Genomic DNA, 25731 nt, shown 5'->3' on the forward strand with positions numbered 1-25731 from the left:
CTTTATTGAATGCCCCTCAAAATCAGAACTTACATCATTAGGCATTATTCTCTATTTCCTTGATGATATGGAGGATGAGATTTTCAGACACTATGCAGAGGTAAGGGGAAATATTTATATTCTGCATGAGAGTTGGGAGAGGGGAGAAAGAAATCCTCCACCCCAGATCGGGTTAATTCATCAAAGCAACTCATTAAATTTTCGTGTTAAAAGAAGTTGAACATTCACACTTCGCTCTACTTGGAGCTTCATTAAAATGCAAATGAACACAGAAGGGTATCTGTTCTTAGTTATCTGGCCTAACTAAAGATTAATTGCAAACCCTTTCCTGAGAGTAATTTTTGATAAATGAGAACTAGGGGGAAATTAGGTGCTTGAGAGAGATGCAGAAAGGGCACAGCTGGAGGATGTGACAAGAAAAGAATTGGAAAGACTATGGGAAGGTTTTGCTGTAGCACTGCACAACTAAAGTTATATTTACTTCCTAAACCACAAACTTAAAATACGCATATAATTATACTTTCCAAAGAAATATCATGGTTTATTCCTTCCAACTACCTATGAATCTTGCTCTCAGTAACCATGCCTGTCTTCTCCATAGTCACACCCACCTGGTCTAAACTATACCTTTCTCTTTTGCAACAAACTTAAATTCACTAACCCTATCTGTGAACTTGGATACAATTCCCTCATCTTTCATGTGCCACCAGTCCAAAATAAAGATTTTCAATGCTAGTAACTTTATGTATACCTCAGTGAGCATCCAATAAATTCTGTACTCTCAGCCTACATCCCCATAACTGCTCTTTTGAGAAGAGATGAGACCAGAACACACCTGAGATGTTCAAAGCAAAGATGTCTAAGGGATTCAAAGCTAACTTCAAACCAGAGCATGTCTAGCAAGTTGGCTTTTTCAAAGAACTCCAACATCATTGGAGGGACTAAGAAAGCATGGGAGAAATGAATGCTATAATAGGAGTGAATGGGAAGCAATTTGAGACCAAAAGTAGAGAATCTAAGTAGCAAAAAATGACCAATTTTGTAAAAAAATCAAAAGTTGCCAATAAATGGCTATCAATGAACAATAGGAAATGCCATTAGCATCAGCGGTAGTGGGAGTATTATCAGATATGTTACCCAAGGATTCTACACAAAGGAAGAGGAAAGTTTGGGATATTTGAAGACATGATGACTTTACTGTAATAATTATTATCTATTACCTTGATCGTCTTCTTCAAAGTTAGAGTGGTCTAGGGAAGCTAGGGACAAGTTTTTATTAACTTTGTTAGTCTACCCACCTTTCTCCCAACACTTCAAGAATTTGTGGCCTGGGAAAACTGTGTTATAATAGGACATCCCAAAGCTGCTGGAACATCCTGACGCTCTGAAATTGAAATACTTTTCTGGGAGCTGATACATTTATTTAGCTGCTGACCATAACACACCAAAGACTGCAACAGACCCCACCCTGGAAGAAAAGCAGGCAGAGAATAAGGAAGTCATATATCACTGGAGAAAAATTAGGATTCTCCAAGCTGTGCATACTTTTTGTTTTAAATTTTTTACACAGGCTTGACAATGTTTAGAAAAGCCAGTCCAACATTACCAATAAAAGATTAGTGTTTAACCCCATATCCCATAATTGACACTGCAAATAAGACATTTAGGATTTATCTTGAAATTCCTACTGAAGTTCGATTTTCTTTTAATCACTGCTAAATCTGCATCAAGTTACACAAACTTTCTAACAGAAAAGTGTTTGTGACTAACAATAAATGAACTCCGTTCTTAGTAAGTTAATTTTAAAACATAGATGATCATTCTATCTCCTTAGTTTTGGTTGCCAATGCAAATGAGTCAGAGGATTTGCTTCAGACACTGAGATAATTGTGTAACTCTACAGCGGAAAATGCCATTGGAGAGTACTTGCTGACCTCACAGTTGAAAAAAACTATTTAAAAGATGTGGAAACCAGATGTTTCAGTCACATTTCAGCCACTGCTCTGAGAATTTGTGAGCAGCCCCTAACAGGCTGTTACTTCACTACAACTGACGATATGATCATCTTAATTTACTTATTTCTCTTGCTATGGGAAGACACTCAAGGATGGGGATTCAAGGATGGAATTTTTCATAACTCCATATGGCTTGGTAAGAACCTTCACTCATGAGCCTCTTGTTGAGAATGTCAATTCTTTAAATCATGGAGAAGGAAATTTAAAGCAGTAACTTTTTCTATTCTGTACAAGGCTGATGTTCTCAAAGAAAATGCTTAGGAAAGATAGCCTTTGGAATACATACGCTTTTTTTTTTTTAAGCGTTCTTGTCCTCTAAAATTTAAAAATAGCATTTTATAAAGTGAATTGTTCAGTAGAAAATAGCAGTTAATATTTATATTCAGTATGAAAATATATTTTTAAACTTTTCAAAGCAGATGTAGTAGTACAGTGAGGAGTATTTCTTTAACCAACTAGAAACTCCAATATAGTCTTCTGTTTTTATGTCAATGCATTTGCAATCAGATTTCAGAATCCTAACAGGTAAATTGGAGTCTACGAAAATTTTATAATAATTGCTTCATGGACTCTGAGCTATAGTCTATATCTTAGTTTTTTCAAACATTTTGACTATTTTGACCAAGCCAGCTTGCAGTACAGAAAAAAGTGAAAAATGTTTCTCCTTCTGAATGCATTCTTACCACTTTGATTCTTTCTGTTTCTACTATCCATATAAATACTTTTCTGACCCTTTTGTTAGACAAGGAAAGTTTCTTTTGTTATTTTGTTTTGTTAAATGTAAGGAATGAGACAGGCCAAACAGTGAAGATAAACAATAGATCAAAAAAGGAAAATGCAGAAAATCCAAAACACCCCTTAGATTACAGTATGCTAAACAATGCTTTAATTCTCATGATACAAATTGATATTGCTCTATGTTCATTATTGTGTTTAATAGTAAAAAAAAATTGAATTTCTTGGGGAAAAATGCATAGATTCTTGCATAGAATAAAGAAATAAAGAGAAGGCGAAATTAACCTAGATTTTGATTTTATGCTTTCTAAACAGCACAGTTGTAGAATATTTTCCCTTTCAGCATGTTTCTCTCTGGTAATAACTGCAACCATGCGGATTTCATTAAAAAGCCTAATTTGTAATGCACAGCCTTGCCGCCTATTTTTTTCAGCTTGAGCCAGTGAACTAATTTCACTGTGATCCATTTGGCCAAGACGGGATCTGAAATTTAGTAGAGGAATGAGCCCATCTCTTTATTTTAGTTGAATACAGTCAAATATAGGAAATACACTCATATTTGTCAGGATTTTTTTTAAATGTCATAAAGCTAGTAAGAATTAAATCCAGGCAGATAAACTTTGAAATATTATCAAACCCTCTAATAATCAAGTAATTTAGAGTTGTCTTTTAAAGTGTTGTCATATGTTACAAAAATATAAACCTGGACAATAGAAGTTTTGCCCCAGAGGTAGAGAGAAGCAAATTCAAACGTCTATTAATGTATGCTACAAATCTGAGGGTCAGGATAATTGCAAATTGCTTCAATCTGGGGCAAATTTTTGACCAGCCAGCCTAGCACAGATGTTTATAGTTGGTTGGATCAATATAATCTTTTTAGAAACCATTTAGGAAGGAAAGATAGTTGGATTAGAAGGGATACATCTGTTAGCAACTATCAAGAACAGGACACTTTAAATCTAGGGTGTCCCATCTTTTGCCTTCCCTGGGCCACATTGGAAGAAGAATTGTCTTGGGCAACTCATAATTTTTTTTTTTTTTTTTTTTGAGGCAGAGTCTCGCTCTGTTGCCCACGCTGGAGTGCAGTGGCACCATCTCGGCTCACTCCAAGCTCCGCCTCCCAGGTTCACGCCATTCTCCTGCCTCAGCCTCCCAAGTAGCTGGGACTACAGGCACCCGCCACCACGCCTGGCTAATTTTTTGTATTTTTAGTAGAGACAGAGTTTCACCATGTTAGCCAGGGTGGTCTCAATCTCCTGACCTCGTGATCCGCCCACCTTGGCCTCCCAAAGTGCTGGGATTATAGGCGTGAGCCACCGCACCTGGCCCAGGGAACTCATAATGTTTTAAGAAAGTTTACAAATTTGTGTTGGGCCACATTCAAAGCCGTCCTGGCAGGCCGCAAGTTGGACAAGTTTACTTTAAATTCTCTAGGTTATGGTTCCAATCTGGTAAAATGATAAGGTTGAAGTAAAGGATCCCTAAGGCTTATTTTAACTCTGGTATCATCTAATTTTTAAAATAGTACTTAAAACAAAAACAAACCACAGTTAAGGACAAGAAATTACAATCATTTTACATGGATCATGAGAATAAAAAATGCACAGATAAGCAATTATTTTTATTGTTGAATCTGAAAAAGAAGGGAAAGGAAGGTGGGATGCAGTGGTTCACACCTGTAATCCTAGCACTGTGGGAGTCTGAGGTGGGCAGATTGCTTGACCCCAGGAATTAAAAAGACCAGCCTGGGCAACATAGAGAAACTCTGTCTCTACCAAAAAAAACACAATTAACTGGGTGTGGTGGTGCATGCCTGTAGTCCTAGCTACTCAGGAGGCTGAAGTGGAAGGATCACTTGAGCCCAAGAGGCAGACGTTGCAGTGAGCCGTGACCTCACCACTGCACTCAAGCCTGGGTGACAGAGTGAGACCTTGTCTCAGAGAAAAAAAAAGAAAGAAAGGAAAAGTGACGTATCTTGAGTTCCTTCTATGGTCCAGAAGCTATCATTAGTCCCATTTGACAAATGAGGAAACTGAGGCTCATCTGGTTATACAACTCCATGGTAGAAACAGCAGTGGAACCAAAGTCCATTTCTACTGCCGCCACTCACTAAAAGGAGAAAACATTTATTAAACAAATTTTCAGTTTTAATAAATGACTATTGACTAGATAAATTAATAAAATATTATTGCTTCTGAAAGGTAAAATTAGGATTCATTGTACAAAGGTCCATCTTAATAGCTCAAAATTCTGAATTGAGAAATATTTTTAATAAAACACCTTATTTAAAATTGTCAGGTACATACTCCAAGAGTTCTCTATTTGTTCATATGGCAACATACTGGGAAGTTTGGCGCTATTAGAGGAACAATGTGGAATGTTAATATTTAATAAATTAAATCAGAAATTATAACAAAAATTTTTTGCTATTTCTGTTATTATGTTATTACTAGACAAGTTTCAGTAGGTACCAAAAGTTTAAGAAAAATTACTGAGGGTGGGAGAAGGGAGAGGAACAGAGGTACTGGGTTTAATTCCTGGGTGATGAAATAATCTGTACAGCAAACCCCTGTGATGTGAGTTTACCTATGTAACAAACCTGCACATGTACCCCCGAATTTAAAATAAAAGATTTTTAAAAAATGAAAAATTACTTGGAGGAAAACTTAAAATTATTATTTTTTTAAATCTGTTAATTTTTTTGTTTTGTTTTGGTTTGGTTTTTTTGTTTTTTGAGATGGAGTCTCACTCTGTCGCCCAGGCTGGGGTGTTGTGGCATGATCTCTGCTCACTGCAACTCTGCCTCCCTGGTTCAAGCAATTCTCCTGCCTCAGCCTTCCAAGTAGCTGGGACTACAGGCGTGCACCACCACACCCGGCTAATCTTTTGTATTTTTAATAGAGATGGGGTTTCACCATGTTGGCCAGGCTGGTCTGGAACTTCTAACCTCAGGTGATCCACCCGCCTCAGCCTCCCAAAGTGCTGGAATTATAGGCATGAGCTACCATGCCCGGCCAAATCTCCGTTCATTTTTTCCGTATACATCACATTTTAATTTTGAAATAAAATATGAAGAAAATCAGTTTGAGAAAACTTTGTATACATTAAAATAATTTTTACAAAATTTGTTTTCAAATACAGGTCTTTTAATCTGTATTCTTAGGAAATATAATTTTTAACATTTTTAATGATTAACAACAATCTCTATTATAATACGTAAGTAAGCTAAACAGGCCTCCTGTCTCTACCAAAAGCTTTAGTGTTCCTCTATTTCAAGATAAAGAAATTCAAAATATTCACTAGTGTCCAAGTTCCTTGAGGATAGAACCTGACCCACAGCACCTAGCAAAATACCCCGTGGTATGATGTTCAAAGTAACTAAATTGAAAACTAGCAAAAGTTTAATGAGGCTTTGCCGTATGAAGGACACTGGGCAGCAGGCATCTTTCAATAGAGAAACAACTTGACTGATGTTCCTGGTATTCTCTGACCTCGAGCATCAGATTGACTAAGGTCCTCTGTGTGTGAGTAATGGGATTTACTATGTAATGTATAAGAGCAGGATCCTTGGAGTTCAGAAAAACAAGCACCCTCTCTTATTGAGCTGTGGCAATGTCAACTTCAGTTTGGGGTGGAAAACAAAGAACTATATTTCTAATTCTCCTGGATTCATTTCTTGGTGCCAAGAAATATGTATGTCCTCACTGCAAATGGTCCTAAGGGTGGCTGATTGCACAGGTCAGAATACAGAGACTTAACCATAATGTCAGACTACATAGAACTATTAGAGCTAACTACAGAGCTAATGTTATGACTATTGTCCTGGGAATCTTTTCACATTGTTTCTATGGTAGAAGGGACTCCAAACTCAAAACAATCCATTTAAACAGTGATCTATTGGAAGACAACTCATGTATGACTTAACACTGCCTAAAATATGTTGGGAAAAATATGTGAACTAAAAAAGACAAATCAGATAAAAAATTGAGGCATTAACTGGTAGTTAGGTGTGTCCAGTTTTTTCTCTGCTGTGTTTGAATCTATTTTTCTTTTCCCTAATTTAGTATTTGCTTTGGATCCCTTCAGATCTTTCCTCAGTTTTTATTTGTCTTACTAAATTCTTTTTTTTTTTTTTTTTTTTTTTTTTTTTTGAGACAGAGTCTCACTGTCGCCCAGGCTGGAGTGCAGTGGCGCAATCTCGGCTCACTGCAAGCTCCGCCTCCCGGGTTCATGTCATTCTCCTGCCTCAGCCTCCCGAGTAGCTGGGACTACAGGTGCCTGCCACCACGCCTGGCTAATTTTTTGTATTTTTAATAGAGACAGGGTTTCACCGTGTTAGCCAGGATGGTCTAGATCTCCTGACCTCGTGATCCGCCCGCCTCGGCCTCCCGAAGTGTTGGGATTATAGGCGTGAGCCACCACGCCCGGCCTAAATTCTTAATTATATTGCATTAGTCATTGCCCTCAATTGGATATTTTAGCTTATTTTTCTACGTCATTGTGAGCCTACATAATGGATCCATCTTCACTAGTTTCTTTTGCCTTCACCTCCTTTTCTTTCCCCTATTGCTTACCTTTGCACGTTTTTATATAGCTTAAATCCAACAGAAAGCCAAAACTTTATCACCTGTGGATAGTGTTGCAATACAATGTTGTATTAAAAACTTTATTTTAGGCCGGACACGGAGTCTCACGTCTGTAATCCTAACACTTTGGGAGGCCGAGGCAGGTGGATCACTTGAGGTCAGGAGTTCAAGACTAGCCTAGCCAACATGATGAAACCTCGTCTCTACTAAAAATACAAAAATTAGCTGATTGTGGTGGCACATGCCTGTAATCCCAGCTACTCGGAAGGCTGAGGCAGGAGAATCGCTTGAACCCAGGAGGCGGAGATTGCAGTGAGCCCAGATTGCACCAGCCTGGGCGACAGAGTGAGACTCCGTCTCACAAAATAAAAATACAAAATTAAAAAAAATGAAAACTTTATTTCAGGCTATCGATCAAAAACACAATTTAGGCCAGGCCCAGTGGCTCATGGCTGTAATCCCAGCACTTTGGGAGGCCGAGGCGGGTGGATCACGAGGTCAGGAGATCAAGACCATCCTGGCTAACACGGTGAAACCCTGTCGCTACTTTAAAAAAAAAAAAAAAAATTAGCCAGGCGTGATGGCGGGCACCTGTAGTCCCAGCTATTCGGGAGGCTGAGGCAGGAGAATGGTGTGAACCCGGGAGGCGGAGCTTGCAGTGAGCTGAGATCGCGCCACTGCACTCCAGCCTGGGAGACAGAGAGACTCCGTCTCAAAAAAACAAAACAAAACAAAAACCAACCAACCAAACAAACAAAAAAACATAATTTAGCCTAAAGTTTCTGTTTATGGCCCCAAATTCCCCTAAAATTCCCCCTCATTCAGATTTTTCCCCAAAGTTTCCTAACAGTGAAAACTTAGCTACCCAAGGCAGCCAACCCAGAAAGCCCTTTGGCAGGAACAATAGCTGTTGTAATCTTCCAGCTGAGGCCACAGAATTTCCCCTGTTCCGTAAGAAGGAACAACAGTGCTTTTATGACATCATCTGATTTTGCAGAACGAGCAGCCGGTGTGTACCACAGAGAAGCACGGTCTGGCAAATACAAGCTCACCTACGCAGAAGCTAAGGCGGTGTGTGAATTTGAAGGCGGCCATCTCGCAACTTACAAGCAGCTAGAGGCAGCCAGAAAAATTGGTAACTGATTTCACAATGATTTTTCTTCTTTTTTATCCTTGGAGGAAAAAAATCCATCTTTCCTAAGCCCTAGTAAGACTTCTTTCTCCAACCCCCTTCTGATATATCACTAAGCCCCTAGGACATTTCTGCTCTCTGACTTCTCCTATCCATCTGCCTAGAGTTGGCAGACAGTTCCTAGTACCACCAACTTATGTGGAGTCTTAACCCAGTGTGACCTAATAAAATACAAGTCAAAAGAAAATGAAAACCTCATTATTTCAATATTATTTAAATTTCTCATTAATTTCAATGCCATTGCTATTCTTTTTAGTATTGTTCTATCTCTTTGACTTCTCAGTATGGTGGCTGTTAAATGATGCTATAGTACTATATTGAGTCTTACAAGGAAATTTACTTGGTAGAGAAATATTGAATTTAGTGGCTTTTTTCCCCAATTTTTTTCCATTAAGTGGGAGAATGTATTTGTACTTCAGGATCAAAAGCTATAAGGAAAAGGAGGACAGGAAGGTCGTGAGATAGAAGCAGAAAGAAACTGGGAAGATGGTATCAGAAGACCTGGTGAAAATCCCAGCAATCAACTGGTGTTACATGCTTCTTTATACAAAAGTGGATTGCTACCATCTCTCTTGGCCTTTGGGGAGAATGGGCCACCCCCATTCAGAACTCCTTTGCTGACTGGATAACATCCGGCAAAGTTGATACATTACTCAAGAAAAAAAATAAGAGTGTTTTCTCAAATGCCCCAAAGCCTCCCCAGATGACTGCTGGTCTGTAATCAGGGGGCGGCATGGGGCATAGTAACTGGAGTGGAAGAGACAAAGCCCATAGTCTTTACTGGCCATCCTGGACCTCTAGTAAAATTGCTCTTGGTGGCATTGACAGATACTAAAACAGCCTCTGAGGCTGAGCAAAGGAAACAGGGCTGAGCCTTTGTTTGAAATGTATGAGAGAATTTATCTTTATTCAAATCTTCTAAAACATTATGAATATCTGATAGGGTGCAGTGGTTCACACCTGTAATCCCAGCACTTTGGACTGCTTGAGCTCAGGAGTTCAAGACCAGCCTAGGCAACATAGCGAAACCTCATCTCTACAAAAAAAATTAAAAAATTAGCCAGGTGTGGTGATGCACACCTGTGGTCACAGCTACTCTAAAGACTGAGGTGAGAGGATTGCTTGAACCCAGGAGGTGGAGGCTGCAGTGAGCTGTGTTCATGCCACTGCACTCTAGCCTGGATGACAGAGCAAGACCATGTCTCTAAATAAATAAATAGGCCAGGCGTGGTGGTTCATGCCTGTAATCCTAGCACTTCGGAAGGGTGAGGTGGGCAGATCACTTGAGGTCAGGGGTTTGAGACCAGTCTGGCCAACATGGAGAAACCCCATCTCTACTAAAAATACAAAAATTAGCTGGGCATGGTGGTGCATGCCTGTAAGCCCAGCTATTCAGGAGGCTGAGGCAGGAGAATTGCTTGAACCCAGGAGGCGGAGGTTGGAGTGAGCCAAGATTGCACCACCCCACTCCAGCCTGGGTGACAGAGTGACACTCTGTCTCAAAAAATAGATAAATAAGATATTACAAATATCTTAATTGATCCTAAAATAGAAATTAAATTACCACTTGAAAATATTTTTTCAAAATTGATAATTTCAGAAATTGTCTCATGGCATTCCATACGTCATTTGTGAAAAGAAGCCAGCTCTGAACTTGGATTAGTTTCATACCCACAATAATTTGTAGTCCATTTGCATTTTTTTCAAGTAAGAGGTAGTTTTCCAATAAAAATCAGAAGTTATATTTCATGTGTATTCACACTTTGTCTAATTAAGGAAGCAATTTTCTCCCTTTTACATGAACTGGATTTGACCAGTTAAGAAACTTACTATTGGAAGTGGCTATCTTTGCTAAGATGACTTTTGCTTAGCCAAGACAGTTTACCTGTTTAGTCCATAACTCTTTTTCTTCTTGCAGGATTTCATGTCTGTGCTGCTGGATGGATGGCTAAGGGCAGAGTTGGATACCCCATTGTGAAGCCAGGGCCCAACTGTGGATTTGGAAAAACTGGCATTATTGATTATGGAATCCGTCTCAATAGGAGTGAAAGATGGGATGCCTATTGCTACAACCCACACGGTGTGTTAAAAATAATAATTTTATGTTTTGCAAAAACAGTTCCATGCTGCTAAGAGGTTGTTAAAAAAGAAATGGCTACTTTTTCCAGAAATAATTGATTTTGGTAATAATAACTACTACTAATAACTACAATTCATAAAGTGCTTATACTATACCCGACATTGAGTTGTGTTCCTTCGTCTACACTCTAACTTAATATTCACAATAATTCTTCAAGGAGCTATTGTTATACCTATTTTAGAAATCAGGAAATTGAAACTTAGAGAATTAAGTAACCCCAAATCAGGAGTCAATAATGATTAGGCAGATGGGACTGAGAATTCAGATCTTCTCTGTGCCAGGGAACTTCCCAGCCATAAAGAAAAAGAAAATAAAAAAGCAGATTAAAAACTTGTCACAGTAAATTAGCTAAAACAATAAAGTGATGCTACCAAATGGTAACTATTCAAAATTGTCCTTTTGATACAACGGGGAAAAGGAGACAAAGTAAACAAATAAATTCTTTCCTTAATTTCTTTTTGTGTATATATGCTAGTACTTCCAAACTAAGCAACTCTAATTCTATGGTTTAACAATTATATACTGTATATACTAGCTATCATTATACCATATATTTTTATTCATATTTTTTCCATGTTTGCTTGCAACTAGGAAATAATGAGAAAATTAACTCATAATTACTATAAAGAATTATTCTTAGGTCACGTTCTTGGAGAAAAAGTAGGCTGTTCTTTTTGGGTATATTTCCACCAGGACAATGTTACAAAATATTACAGTATGTTACAAAGTCTTCCTGGCATTTAGGATCATAAACATCCTCAGATGTGTCCCATTTGGATTTACCCTATAAGAAATTCCATAACACAGTAGGAGAGTTACATAGTGAGGTTTTAGTGTATTATTATAAAATCTATTATTTAATTATATTAACATTTGGAGAATAGTTTCTCATGTCTGTAACTAACCTATATCTCAAAATTATGTGTAGTCCAAGTAGAAAGATTTTTGCCTACAGCTACAACTAGTCTTAACTGAGACAAAATAGGAATAAATACTTAACAGTGCATTTATGTAACTTTAACTTTCAAGTCACTTTGACATGCTTTAAGCTTATTTAGTCCTATACTATACAGTACTAATTTAGTCCTATATTTAGTTATGTCAACAATATGTATCTTCCTTTCCTCCCTCCCTCTCTTACATTTTCTTAAATATATTTATGCAGACCACTCTTTTTTACTCTTAAGAGTAACTCTTCTTTTCAAATGTATTCTCTGATTCTTCTTTCACTTGATAAACTTTAGGATCTCTGAGCTTCCACTGGATAATTTCCATAGATTAAACTCTAGAGTCATTGAAGAAGTGCCAATGAAATGGTCCTTTCAGTATTTCATTGCCCTTTCATAAGAATATAATCCTAAATTATAAATTATTATAAGTTGCTTTCTTTTCTCAGAGAGGCTGAATACACTCTGGGAATACAGAATCCTGGGAGATTTGTTTTTACCCAATTCTCAGTGCATTTAGCTCGCTTTTGGATTTGGTGGTATGCTGACTATTTAGGATGTGGTTAACTTGAAGGAGACTTGACCGCCTGAACTAGCACTGGGGGAACAGCTCACTGAAACATCACTGGAATAAAAAAAAAAAATAATGGCTTCACAAAAATAAAGCAATCATTATTGATTAATCAATGTCACCAAGTTAGAGCTGATATTCTAAATAATAGATGAGGCAGTAACTAGATATAACATAAAATATAGATCTAAATAAATATAGCCAAATAGGCAGCCAAATTAGTTCAATATTTGAATTTTTTCTAATCTATTAATATATACAACAAAGATTGGATGCTATGGGATGGAACAACTCGCTCCTAAAGCTGGCAATGTACATCCTTATGCAGACATACAAACTATGTGTTGTATATTTTATTATACAGTAAGAATAGCTTATGGGTTGCATAACATCCTTAAATTATTTTCTGTATTTTATCCTTAGAATAACCCTGTGTGATAGATAATGGGAAAGGTATGGCTACATTTATTTTACCAATGAAGAAAATGAAGTGTAGAGTAGTCACCAAGCTTGAACTAGATCCTTGACCTTCATTTGTTGCTCCCCAGCCTTTCTATGCTCCTGTTCTGCTTTATTTCATCAAAGCAGAACAGGAGCATAGAAAGGCTGGGGAGCATCTTTTTTCTAGACATTAGACACTTACCTGATATGGAATTAAAATTAACCAGGGCTTCTTCCTAGCTTTCCCTCTAGGTCATATTGCAAACCACTGATTCTGAGACAGCGTTTTTGTTTTGTTTTATATGTGTTTGTTTTTCTTATGACAATTTATAACATATTGAAATCTGTTAAATGATGAATGACTTGGAAAAACAAACATGAATATCTCCATCAAATCTTAAAATATTAGGATTAGGGTATTAGTTTAAAATCAGTAAAGGCAGTATACAGAATAATTATAAATTATTCCTTTTAAGTGGATTAGAGTGACTTTAAAGTCTCTTGCGATCATGAAATTGTATAATGATTTTCCAAGCAGAATTTATGGGATCCATTATTCTAAGTGCTTGTGGCCCTGAAGACATATGGTGACACCACAGGGCAAAGTCCCTACCATCTTGATAGGGCTGTTTGTAATATAAATGTGTATATATTTGTCAAAATACATAGACATAGGCCAGGTGCCATGGCTCACACCTATAATCCCAACACTTTGGGAAGCTGAGGTGGGTCGATCACCAGAGGTCAGGAGTTCAAGTCCAACCTGGCCCACATGGCAAGACCCTATCTCTACTAAAAATACAAAAATTAGCCAGACGTGGTGGCTCATGCCTGTAATCCCAGCTACTCAGAAGGCTGAGGCATAAGAATTTCTTGAACAATTGCAGAGGCTACAGTGAGCCGAGATTGTGCCACTGCACTCCAGCCTGGGCAACAGAGTGAGACTCCATTTCAAAAAACAACAACAACAAAAAATAGGCGTGTGCACAAAAGACTTGTTATGTTATGCCTTAAAAGATAAAATAAAAATATTTTTAAAAGTACAATTAATTACATTACAATTCTTTTAATTTTAAAATTTATTTTTATTTTTATTTTTTAGAGCTGGAGGTCTCACTATGTTGCCCAGGTTGGCCTCAAACTCCTAGGCTCATGAGATTCTTCTGCCTCAGCCTCCCAATTAGCTGGGACTAAGGGTGAGCATCACTACACCTAGCCATTTTTTTCTTACTATATTTACTTTTTTAAAATTCATGGCTGGGCACAGTGGCTCATGTTTATAATCTCAGCACTTTCAGAGGCAGAGGCAGGAGGCTCACTTGAGGTCAGGAGTTCAATACCAGCCTGGGCAACATTGCAAGATCCATTTCCACACAAAAAAAATAAAAATTACCAGGGCTGGGTGGCACATGCCTGTCATCCCAACTACTTAGGAGGCTGAAGTGGGAGGATTGCTTGAGCCAAGGAGTTCAAGGCTGCAATAAGCTATGATTGGGTCACCGCACTCCAGCCTAGGTGACAGAGCGAGATCTTGTCTCAAAATATAAAAATAAAAATAAATTCACAAAGAGTCCATGTTCATTTTAGAGAATTTAGTAACTATTGATGAAAAAATACATTTATTCTTTAGCTAAAAGCATACATAATATACCATAGATGCTGTATACTAAGACATTTAACATTTCATAAAAAGTAATAGATTGCTAAGAAATGTCATTTTTAACAGGGATAATGTTTTTCCTAATGCTTTGGGGTTTTTACGTTTTTTTTCTTCTCATTTCAGCAAAGGAGTGTGGTGGCGTCTTTACAGATCCAAAGCAAATTTTTAAATCTCCAGGCTTCCCAAATGAGTACGAAGATAACCAAATCTGCTACTGGCACATTAGACTCAAGTATGGTCAGCGTATTCACCTGAGTTTTTTAGATTTTGACCTTGAAGATGACCCAGGTTGCTTGGCTGATTATGTTGAAATATATGACAGTTACGATGATGTCCATGGCTTTGTGGGAAGGTACGTATGGGTCCCCATACAGGAAGTTAAATGAACGTCCAGTATTTTGTTTGATGCTTCTTTAATTTTCCCTCAACTGTCCCTATAATATTGATTTTGGAATAGTTCTACTCTCCTAAAGCACCATATCATTTTTCAACAAAGATTTTTCTTAGCTGGCTGCTACAACATACTTATTAAAGCAGTGAGAGTGCCTTTTGATTATGGCTAAGTTGTAAGAACTAGTTAGTCTATTTTATAAACACCTCAAGATCTGACTACAACATACTTATTAAAGTAGTGAGAGCTGCCTTTTGATTATGGCTAAGTTGTAAGAAATAGTTAGTCTATTTTATAAACACCTCAAGATCTGACTATAACATACTTATTAAAGTAGTGAGAGCTGCCTTTGGATTATGGCTAAGTTGTAAGAACTAGTTAGTCTATGTTATAAACACCTCAAGATCTGACTAACAATAGGAGGAAGAAAGATATGTGAGTTGCAAAAATTGTTCAGGTTTTTAAGTTCTAATTTCTTACAACCTTAAAAATGATTATAGGGCCGGGCACGGTGTCTCACGCCTGTAATCCACACCACTTTGGGAGGCCAAGGTGGGTGGATTACCTGAGGTCAGGAGTTCAAGACCAGCCTGGCCAACATGGCAAAACCCTGTTTTTACTAAAAATACAAAAATTAGCCGGGCGTGGTGGCAGGCGCCTGTAATCCCAGCTACTCAGGAGGCTGAGGCAGGAGAATCACTTGAACCCGGGAGGTGGAGGTTGCAGTGAGCCAAGACTGCACCACTGCACTCTAGCCTGGGTGACAGAGCAAGACTCTGTCTCAAAAAAAAAAAAAGATTATAAATTCAGTAATTGTTGCCTTTCTTCTTCCTACAAAGCATTGTGCTAAGTATTATGGAAGTAAGGTAAATAAGCAAAGTTTAACCCTTTCTCTCTTTAATATTTTTCCTTTGGCTTTTCAACATGCTAGAACACAACCTTTTCCTTCACACTCCAAATCTTTAATATACTTTGAATTTTGAGTGTCTTATGATATATTGCAAATTAAAGAGTGTACAATTAGGTATTTTATATATTCAGGTCCCCACCTAATAACCCATATTTTAGACTATCAATTATCAATAGACTATCAGTTTTCAATTCTCTATTATACATGATAGTAATTTAATGGGGAAAAAATTGTAATGGGGACAATTTAAAAATGACAAACTCAATCCCTTTTTATGTTGATTTTGAATGTGTAATTTAAATACAAAGAAAACCAAAGGCATTTCTTGCAAAAATGAAGAGTTTTTTAAGGGAAAATATTTTTTGTTTTGTTTTCTTCTTTCTACATCTTTTTTTCTTTTTTTTTTTCTTTTTTTTGAGACGGAGTCTCACTCTGTCACCAGGCTGGAGTGCAGTGGCACAATCTCGGCTCACTGCAACCTCTGCCTCCCATGTTCCAGCAATTCTCCTGCCCCAGCATCCCGAGTAGCTGGGATTACAGGCGCCTACCACTACACCTGGCTAATTTTTGTATTTTTAGTAGAGGTGGGGTTTCACCATGTTGGCCAGGCTGGTCTCAAACTCCTGACTTCAGGTGATCCACCCGCCTCAGCCTTCTAAAGTGCTGGGATTACAGGTGTGAGCCACCGCACCTGGCCTTGTTTTCTTCTTTAGCTGACAGACTACTGCTATAGAGAAAAGATAGTTTATAAAAATAGTTTGATGAAGACACAAAGTAGAGTTGGGGAATTAAGAACAAAGTACAGGCAGGCACACCTGTGGTCCCAGCTACTTTGGAAGCTGAGGCAGGATGAGCACTTGAGCCCAGTAGTTCTGGGCTACAGTGCGCTATGCTGGTGGGGTGTCCACACTAAGAGCAGCATCAATATGATGACCTCTCAGGAGTAGGGTACCACCAGGTTGCCTAAGGAGGGGTGAACCTGCCCAGGTCAGAAACAAGCAGATTAAAACTCCCGTGCTGAGAATTGGGAAGGAGCCTATGAATAAACATTGTATTTCAGCCTGGGCAATACAGCAACATCCTATCTTATATAAAATAATAAACTACTGTCTTTAGGAGGTTTGAACAGGCTAATTTGTTATTTCTTGGATTTATATTATATAATTTACCCTTTAGGTAAATTTAGACTTTTCCTCTAGAATAAATTACATATTTAGAAACCTGTAAAACCCTTACCTTTTTATATGTGTAAAAGGGTTCCTTTCAAGTCATGATTCAGATAAAAATCAAATCCTTTTACACCTATAAGGTCCAAAATAATTTTTCCAGATTTAAATCAGTCTATCCTAGAATTCAAAATATTAATATCACCAAGCATATGCCCATTCTTCTACAACTGTGAAGAAAACTTTATAAAATTAATTAGAAATAAATTTTTAAGGCTGGACACAGTGGCTTATGCCCGTAATCCTAGCACTTTGGGAGGCCGAGGCAGTTGGATCACCTGAGGTCAGGAGTTTGCGACCAGCCTGGCCAACATGGCAAAACCCTGTGTCTACTAAAAATACAAAAATTAGTAGGGTGTGGTGGCACATACCTGTAATCCCAGCTACTCGGGAGCCTGAGGCAGGAGAATCACTTGAACCCAGGAGGCAGAGGTTGCAGTGAGCTGAGATTGTGCCATTGTACTCCAGCCCGGGCTATAGACCGAGACTCCATCTGAAAAAAAAGAAAGAAAATTTTAATTTTTCCAAATAGATTCAAATTATCTGCTGCACAAAATTTTCTAGTTACACAAAGTAAAAATGCCACACATATCTTTCCTTTAAAATCTCATTGGCTGGGTGCGGTGGCTCACACCTGTAATCCCAACACTTTGAGAAGCTGAGGCGGGAGGATCACCTGAAGCCAGGAGTTCAAGACCAGCCTGGCCAACATGGTGAAACCCCATCTTTACTAAAAGTACAAAAATTAGCCAGGTGTGGTGCATGCCTGTAATCTCAGTTACTTGGGAGGCTGAGGCAGGAGAATCGCTTGAACCCAGGAGGAAGAGGTTGCGGTGAGCCGAGACTGCGCCACTGCACTCCAGCCTGAGCGACAGAGCAAGACTCCATCTAAATAAAATAAAATAAAATAAAATATCATCAATATTGTAAGAAGATTATTTCAAATAACAAACTTTGTTTTAACTCCTACTCTCTCTTACAAATCCAGGTAAAATAACAATAGAAATTTTAAAAATTATGGAACAATGAGCTATTACTTAGAGGCTTAATTATCAGTAACAGCCACTTTACTAGCTGTATAATATTCATTTGTGTGACATCTCTTTTCTAAAAATTCCTTTTCAGATACTGTGGAGATGAGCTTCCAGATGACATCATCAGTACAGGTAAGGTTTTAAATTGAGGACCAAAACTATGATTTGTTTCTTTACAGTGTCCCTGAAAGTAAAGGGACACTGTTAAATAGTAAATAGTAGTTATTATTCACTTTTTAAAGTTGAAAGAACCAACACCAGATGCAGCTTGCTAGGTTGTAAAATGCAAAAAAAAAAAAAAAATTAAAGATTTATGCCAACTGCTTGCACTAAAAAATGTATAAACTCTTCTTTGCTGAAAATGTAATGTATCTGAGAGTCTTGAATCTGCAAATCCACAAATATTGCTATAGTTTATGATTTCCATAAATGTGCTAATAAAATGGCTGAAATTTTTCATTGATAAAGGGTTGAAGTCATTTATAAAGTCATTAAAAATCTTTGTCACTAAAACAATCTTACATCATATTCATTACATTTTTATCTTAGTACAATATTCTCCAGAGAATGTTTCAAATAACAAAGTTCTGTGAGATTTAAATAGATGTTACATGAGAAGAGGGCTCTAAGGTCAAATAAATTTGGAAAACGTTGGGTTAAACAATATCAAACAGGTTTCTTCACTGGAAGACAGCAGGGATCTTTTAATATGCTAATCATGTGTAGTAAATCTGAAAAGACCAGATATAATAGGTAGTGCTTTCCAAATATTGCCCACCCCCCCATTATTTTCTGTGACTTTGTTCCAAGAAATGTACCTCAAGAAATGCCCTGTAGTCGCATAAATTTATCTCAATATGCAATATCACTCTTTAATTTATCCCATACTGCTATTTTCTGGCTAAAAACTTCCTTTCTTACATGTATTCAGTATTTTATTTTATTTCCATCACCAGCACCAGCAGCTGGCATTTTTAAGTGCTCTATTTTCTCCCAAGTCATAAAACTATCACAGTACTTCTGCAACTATAAACAACAAAACTACATTGAGTTGCAATTTCTAAGTACTCAGATACTACTAGTTAACTTACTCCCACACCCCAGCCTTTCAGTGACTCAATTCTAATTTATTCGTCATAACTGTAACAGATGGAACTTCCTGCTCTGTTATCGAATGATTAATGCTTAAACCTTGTTAGTTCATTATTCTGTTACAAACTCCCTTAAGAAAGATAACCTATTAAATTAAACCGTTTACTTATCTCTCATTCCTTTCTTGAAAATATATTTTATATTAACAGAAAGTTGAAAGAAAACATCTTATTGCTGTAGGAGGTAGTTGGGGGATGAGAATCCTATTAAACAAAGAAGTTAAAAAGAAGCCTAGGCCAGGTGCCGTGGCTCACGTCTGTAATCCCAGCACTTTGGGAGGCCAAGGCAGGCCGATCACCTGAGGTCAGGAGTTCGAGACCAGCCTGACCAACATGGAGAAACACCGTCTCTACCAGAAATACAAAATTAGCCAGGCGTGGAGGCACATGCCTGTAATCCCAGCTACTTGGGAGGCTGAGGCAGGAGAATTGCTTGAACCCGGGAGGCAGAGGTTGTGGTGAGCCAAGATAGCGCCATTGCACTCCAGCCTGAGCAACAAGAGCAAAACTCCGTCTCAAAAAAAAAAAAAAAAAAAAAGTCTGAAATTTTACATTTTCCTTTTTTCTCTAAAGTAGACAACTTACTCCAAATGTAATCAAATCAGTGGTGGGGTTTTATTGGCACAACTTCAAGAAACTGGGAAAAAAAAAACCCACACAATTTATCATTCAAAGAGAAACAAATCAAGAAACAGAAAAGAATATAGTTAAAACAAAAAAGCCAAAGATTTAGCAAAAAATCAGGAAGAGGACATTGATACAAAGTAATAGAAAAAGAAGATATAAGATACAGTTAACATAAAATCCTATCAAGCATAGGCCTGGTGTGGTGGCTTACGCCTGTAATCCCAGCACATTGGGAGGATGAGGTGGGCGGATCACCAGGTCAAGAGATCGAGACCATCCTGGCTAACACGGTGAAACTCCGTCTCTACTAAAAATACAAAAAATTGGCCAGGTGCAGTGGCACACGCCTGTAGTCCCAGCCACTTGGGAGGCTGAGGCAGGAGAATCGCTTGAACCTGGGAGGCAGAGGTTGCAGTGAGCTGAGATTGTGCCACTGCACTCCAGCCTGGGTGACAGAGCAAGACCCCATCTCAAAAAAAAAAAAAATCCTATCAAGCATAATACTATTAACATTTTGATCTGGTTTTCTTTTTAAATATACGCTTACTCAACCCAGGGTATAGATTACAAAACAAAAATAGAAAATAAAGACATTGGCCAAGCATGGTAGCTCGTGCCTATAATCCTAGCACTTTGGGAGGCCAAGGTGAGAGGCGTGAGCCTCAGGAGTTTGGGACCAGCCTGGGCAACATGATGCAACCCTGTCTCTACAAAAAAATACAGAAGTCAGCCGGGCACAGTGGCTCATACCTGTAATTCTAGCATTTTGTGAGGCCAAGGCGGGTGGATCACTTAAGATCAGGAGTTCAAGACAGCCTGGCCAATATGGTGAAACCCCATCTTTACTAAAAACACAAAAAATTAGCCCGGTGTGGTGGCACGTGCCTGTAATCCCAGTTACTCAGGAGGCTGAGGCAGGAAAATCACTTGAACCTGAGAGGCAGAGGTTGTAGTTAGCTGAGATGGCTCCACTGCACGCTAGCCTGGGCAACAAAGTAAGATTCCCTTTCAAAAAAAATTTAAAAATACAAAGTTAGCCAGGCATCCTGATGCGTACCTGTAGTCCCAGCTACTCGGGAGGCTGAGGTAGGAGGATCACCTCAGTCCAGGGAGGTCAAGGCTGTAGTGAGCCATGATCATGCCACTGCTCTCCAGCCTGGGAGACAGAGTGATATTCTGTCTCAAAAAAAAAAAAAAAAAAGAAAGAAAGAACCTGAAATTGTCCATAATCCTACCACATTAATAAGAGATATAAAAGTAAGGATGTGCCTACTCTCCTCACCTCTCCATCCCAGAAAGGCATTTGATAACTCTGTAGTGACCATCCTTCCAGATGTTTTTCTATTATACAAACATTATATATGTGGAAACTATGGACATATTTCCATGTCAGAGTATGATATTTAGATCATTCAAATTCTTTTTCATGACTGCCTAATAGGTCACTGTATGGATATACTGTAATTTGTCATGTACTAATATTTAACATTCTGAGGCATTTGATTCTGATTTTTTTCTTTTGTTATTCAACGTTTCAATGAACATTTTAAAACCTCTGTCTTTACTCAGTAATTCTACTTTAAAAAAAAATAGATTCCTACAGTGCCAATTTACATTTCTTTTTCTTTTCTTTTTTTTTTTTTTTTTTTTGTTTTTTTTGAGACAGGGTCTTGTTCTGTCACCCAGGCTGGAGTGCAAGGGCGCCATCACAGCTCACTACAGCCTCAAACTCCTAGGCTCAAGTGATTTTCCCGCACAAGGCTAATTTTTATTTTTTATTTTTAGTAGAGATGGGGTTTTGCTATGTTGCCTAGGCTGGTCCTGAAGTCCTGAATTCAAGCTGTCCTCCTGCCTCAGCCTCCCAAAGTGCTGGGATTTCAGGCATAAACCACCTTGCCTGGCTGACTCCCAATTTACATTTTCTTTTCTTTTCTTTTCTTTTCTTTTTTTTTGAGAGTGAGTCTCGCTCTGTCGCCCAGGCTGGAGTGCAGTGGCAGGATCTCGGCTCACTGCAAGCTCCGCCTCCCGGGTTCACGCCATTCTCCTGCCTCAGCCTCCCAAGTAGCTGGGACTACAGGCACCCGCCACCACGCCTGGCTAATTTTTTGTATTTTTAGTAGAGACAGGGTTTCACTGTGTTAGCCAGGATGCTCTCAATCTTCTGACCTCATGATCCACCCGCCTCGGCCTCCCAAAGTGCTAGGATTACAGGCGTGAGCCACCGTGCCCGGCCATTTTTGTGTTTGTTTGTTTGTTTGTTTGTTTGTTTTTTAATAAGGCCTGTCGACTCATACCTAACCAATTTACATTTTAACCAGCTGAATATTCTCTGAATTCTCTCACAATAGAAGAGCAAAAAAGTATCATTAATAATCTAAGTTGAATTTTTGGTAGTGTTTTTGAACACATTTTTAAATGTCTATTAGCCCTTTGAACACCTATGAATTGCCTATGAATTTATATTTCTTGCATATTCTTTGGCGCTTTTGTCTTTCTCTTTTTTATTTCTTTGTATATTAGAGATATTAACCCTATTTTCTCTCAGTCTGTCTCGTGCAAAATTTTTTTTTTATATTTAGGCAAATCTTCCAAATATGAGAAAATAGCAGTCTGAGAATCAGAGCATGAACTCGGAAACCAGACTGCCTGTGCTCAAACCTGACTCTGCCCATTTAGTTCTGTGGCTTTGGGCAAGCTACTTAGTAGTCACTCTGTGCCTCAGTTTCTTATCTGTAAAATGAATATTTAAAAAGTATCCCCCTCACCTCGCAGTGTTGTTGTGGGGGTTAAATGAGTTAATAGATAAAAGCAAGCATTAGGAATGTATATACTCTGCTTTTGTTTATATATATTTGCAGCTCATGCCTGTGACCCCAACATTTTGGGAAGCTGGGGTAGAAGGATCACTTGAGCACAGGAGCTTGAGACCAGCCTGGGCAACATAGTGAGATCCTGTCTCCAAAAACAAACAAAAAGAAGGCCTTTGCCTCCTTTTTGAAAAAGATATAAATATTCCTATATTTTATGTTATATAATAAAGTTTTTCCTTTTTATTTAGCACATTTTGGTCTTTATATTACGGTAAAATGTGTTTAGGTACTCTGTGTAAAGTAGGAATCTAGCTTCATTTCTAATAAATGTGAAACTTGTTGCTCTGACATCATTTAGTAAATAACTCATCCACCCATCGCTGGTTTGACCTGCCCTGCCATTCTCCTGTAATTCTGTGGATGTTCCTTCTACAAAGAGTATCTTCTTTTTTTTTTTTTTGAGACGGAGTTTTGCTCTTGTTGCCCAGGCTGGAGTGCAATGGCAGAATCTTGGCTCACTGCAACCTCCGCCTCCCGGGTTCAAGGATTCTCCTGCCTCAGCCTCCCGAGGAGCTGGGATTACAGGCACACGCCACCAAGCCCGGCTGATTTTTTGTATTTTTAATAGAGACGGGGATTCACCATGTTGGTCAGGCTGGTATGGAACTCTCGACCTCAGGTGATCTGCCCACCTCGACCTCCCAAAGTGCTGGGATTACAGGCGTGACCCACCAGGCCCAGCCCAAGAGTACCTTTTAAATACAAGAGAGAGGCCAACTCGGTGGCTCACGCCTGTAATCCCAACACTTGGGAAGGCCGAGGTGCGTGGACCACCTGAGGTCGGGAGTTTGAGACCAGCCTGGCCAACATGGTGAAACCCCGTCTCTAGTAAAAATACAAAAAAATCTGCCAGGTGTGGTGGTGCGTGCCTTTAATCCCAGCTACTCGGGAGGCTGAGGCAGGAGAATCGCTTGAGCCCGGGAGGCGGAGGTTGCGGTGAGCCGAGATCGCGCCACAGCACTCCAGCCTGGGCAACAGAGTGAGTGAGACTCCATCTCAAAAATAAATAAATAAATACAATAGACAAAATTTCCTGTAGGATAGATTGGAGGACCAAAGGAAAAAATACAAACGTCTCTCACCCTGTTCCATGCGGCAATGAAACCACAGACTCTTCAGCTTGAGAATCGACCTCTGAATTCTGGGAATCTTGTTCATGAATTCTTATATTCTCCTATGAGAATGAAGAGTCTTTGAATTGTCAGCCAAATCAAAGGAGAGTAACATCTTTGTTCTTTTGCCTCCTTCCCCGCAACAGGAAATGTCATGACCTTGAAGTTTCTAAGTGATGCTTCAGTGACAGCTGGAGGTTTCCAAATCAAATATGTTGCAATGGATCCTGTATCCAAATCCAGTCAAGGAAAAAATACAAGTACTACTTCTACTGGAAATAAAAACTTTTTAGCTGGAAGATTTAGCCACTTATAAAAAAAAAAAAAAGGATGATCAAAACACACAGTGTTTATGTTGGAATCTTTTGGAACTCCTTTGATCTCACTGTTATTATTAACATTTATTTATTATTTTTCTAAATGTGAAAGCAATACATAATTTAGGGAAAATTGGAAAATATAGGAAACTTTAAACGAGAAAATGAAACCTCTCATAATCCCACTGCATAGAAATAACAAGCGTTAACATTTTCATATTTTTTTCTTTCAGTCATTTTTCTATTTGTGGTATATGTATATATGTACCTATATGTATTTGCATTTGAAATTTTGGAATCCTGCTCTATGTACAGTTTTGTATTATACTTTTTAAATCTTGAACTTTATAAACATTTTCTGAAATCATTGATTATTCTACAAAAACATGATTTTAAACAGCTGTAAAATATTCTATGATATGAATGTTTTATGCATTATTTAAGCCTGTCTCTATTGTTGGAATTTCAGGTCATTTTCATAAATATTGTTGCAATAAATATCCTTGAACACACATATTTGTGCACCTCTCTAATTATTTAAGACAAGGACCTGGAAATAGAATTACTGAATCAAAGGTTAATTAAAATAAAATTTTCTGTTTTGATAGGCAAAAATGAGGCCTCACTGTAGTTTGAATTTGCATTTCTTTATTCATGAGATTGATGGTTATATAATTTTTTGTTAATTTTTTTTGTGAATTATTTTTCCATGCCTTTTTTTCACTATTTTTAAAAACTGATATAATCTTCTCTATTGATTTGTTAGAAATTATTATATATGTCCATGTTTGTCATATATGCTGTAATTTAATTTTTAGTTTATATTTTGTCTTTTACTTTAATGGTTCTTTAAAATATATCAAATGTTAAAATTTATTTGCAATTATACTTGATTTTGCTGAGGTCTCTTTTCTCATATTTATGTTTAGGACTGTCAAAAGACAAAATGACAACAAATTTAGTTTAAAGATCTTAATTGGCTTTTATTTGCAATTCTAGAATCAGGCACCTCATTTTTAAAATAGAATGAGTGTTCTGATGAGCTGAGCAGAGGACGTTGGTTTTATTGATATAAAAGGGCTGAGGAGAGCAGAAACAGAAAACAAAAAGCAGACTGGTTGTTTCAAAGTTACTTTTCTTATAAAGGTTAAAGCAGAGGCAACTTCCTTATCATGCCAGCTAAAACTGGTCTGTTTGAGGGTTTGGCTATTATCTCTCTGTGGCTCTTGGTTTCTTGGAAGGTCAGATAAACAACTAATTTCGGGTTGGTGGTGTGAAACTTTAGCATGAGTGACTCCATTTTGGTTTGGTCTCTTTGGCCTGGTGCAGAAGCTAAGTCCAAACCAATGACCTCCTATAACTTTTATTTAAGAGAATAAAAATTCCCATTATAAGATATGACATGTATTCATCTATATTTTATTTTTGTTTTGTCACTTCACCTTTTTAGGGAGAAAAAAACACAGTTGTTACTCGGTAATGAGGGATGTTGGGACTCAGACGATACCCTAAAGTATGACACTTTGGGATACTGAGTACTTTGAGCTAAAGGAGACTGGAAGGCCTCAGAAGCAAGATCTCTGTGACCTTCTCCTTCCATCTTCCCTCTTGCCCCAAGTCTTCCTCTTCCAAAGCAAGTCATAAAAACCAGAATTCACCGGGCGCAGTGGCTCACTCCTGTAATCCCATCACTTTGGAAGGCCGAGGCAGAGGATCTCTTGAGCTCAGGAGTTCAAAACCAGGCTGGGCAACATAGCAAGACCTCATCTCTATGAAAAAAATTTTAAATTAAAAAATTAAAAATTA

The 25731-nt window shown here is 38.1% G+C and overlaps 1 protein-coding gene, 1 long non-coding RNA gene, 2 other non-coding genes and 1 pseudogene across 5 annotated transcripts in view, besides 1 other annotated feature; 3 read left to right on the forward strand and 2 right to left on the reverse strand.

Annotated features, from left to right (window-relative positions):
• LOC101929319 (uncharacterized) overlaps positions 1–23762 on the reverse strand; it is a 41546-nt gene extending 17784 nt beyond the window's left edge. Inside the window, exons 1-2 of the long non-coding RNA NR_110248.1 lie at positions 23579–23762; positions 17186–17307 (exon numbers count right to left, since the gene is read on the reverse strand). This is a non-coding gene — a long non-coding RNA (uncharacterized LOC101929319). The remainder of the gene's footprint in view (positions 1–17185; positions 17308–23578) is intronic.
• Positions 1983–25731, forward strand: TNFAIP6 (TNF alpha induced protein 6). Of its 2 annotated transcripts, none has more exons than XM_047445635.1 (6): positions 1983–2151; positions 8334–8471; positions 10447–10608; positions 14411–14639; positions 17940–17980; positions 25376–25731. In XM_047445635.1, exons 1-6 carry the CDS (start codon positions 2058–2060, stop codon positions 25435–25437), a joined length of 726 nt encoding a protein of 241 aa, XP_047301591.1. In that variant the 5' UTR covers positions 1983–2057; the 3' UTR covers positions 25438–25731. The 2 variants fall into 2 exon arrangements, with proteins under 2 accessions (XP_047301591.1, NP_009046.2); NM_007115.4 differs by lacking the exon at positions 25376–25731 and adding an exon at positions 23755–24437.
• On the forward strand, positions 12725–12802 carry MIR4773-1 (microRNA 4773-1). The gene has a single exon (NR_039931.1). It is a non-coding gene; the product is annotated as a microRNA 4773-1 (primary transcript).
• Positions 12725–12802, reverse strand: MIR4773-2 (microRNA 4773-2). Its single transcript, NR_039932.1, has one exon. It is a non-coding gene; the product is annotated as a microRNA 4773-2 (primary transcript).
• On the forward strand, positions 16403–16675 carry RN7SL124P (RNA, 7SL, cytoplasmic 124, pseudogene; annotated as a pseudogene).
• Positions 18816–18865: an enhancer, noted in NCBI's record as "active region_16636". NCBI's record gives its function as "activates an Ori minimal core promoter by ATAC-STARR-seq in GM12878 lymphoblastoid cells {active_cell/tissue: GM12878}" and the evidence as "EXISTENCE:reporter gene assay evidence [ECO:0000049][PMID:35858748]".

This window comes from Homo sapiens, chromosome 2, assembly GCF_000001405.40.
Source record: "Homo sapiens chromosome 2, GRCh38.p14 Primary Assembly".
Lineage (NCBI taxonomy): Eukaryota > Metazoa > Chordata > Mammalia > Primates > Hominidae > Homo > Homo sapiens.

Coding starts and splice junctions, on each gene's coding strand:
- TNFAIP6 (NM_007115.4), top strand. CDS start 2,058: ATGATCATCTTAATTTACTTATTTCTCTTGCTATGGGAAGACACTCAA. Junction 2,152..8,333: donor TCATAACTCCATATGGCTTG/GTAAGAACCTTC, acceptor CTGATTTTGCAG/AACGAGCAGCCGGTGTGTAC. Junction 14,640..17,939: donor GTCCATGGCTTTGTGGGAAG/GTACGTATGGGT, acceptor ATTCCTTTTCAG/ATACTGTGGAGATGAGCTTC.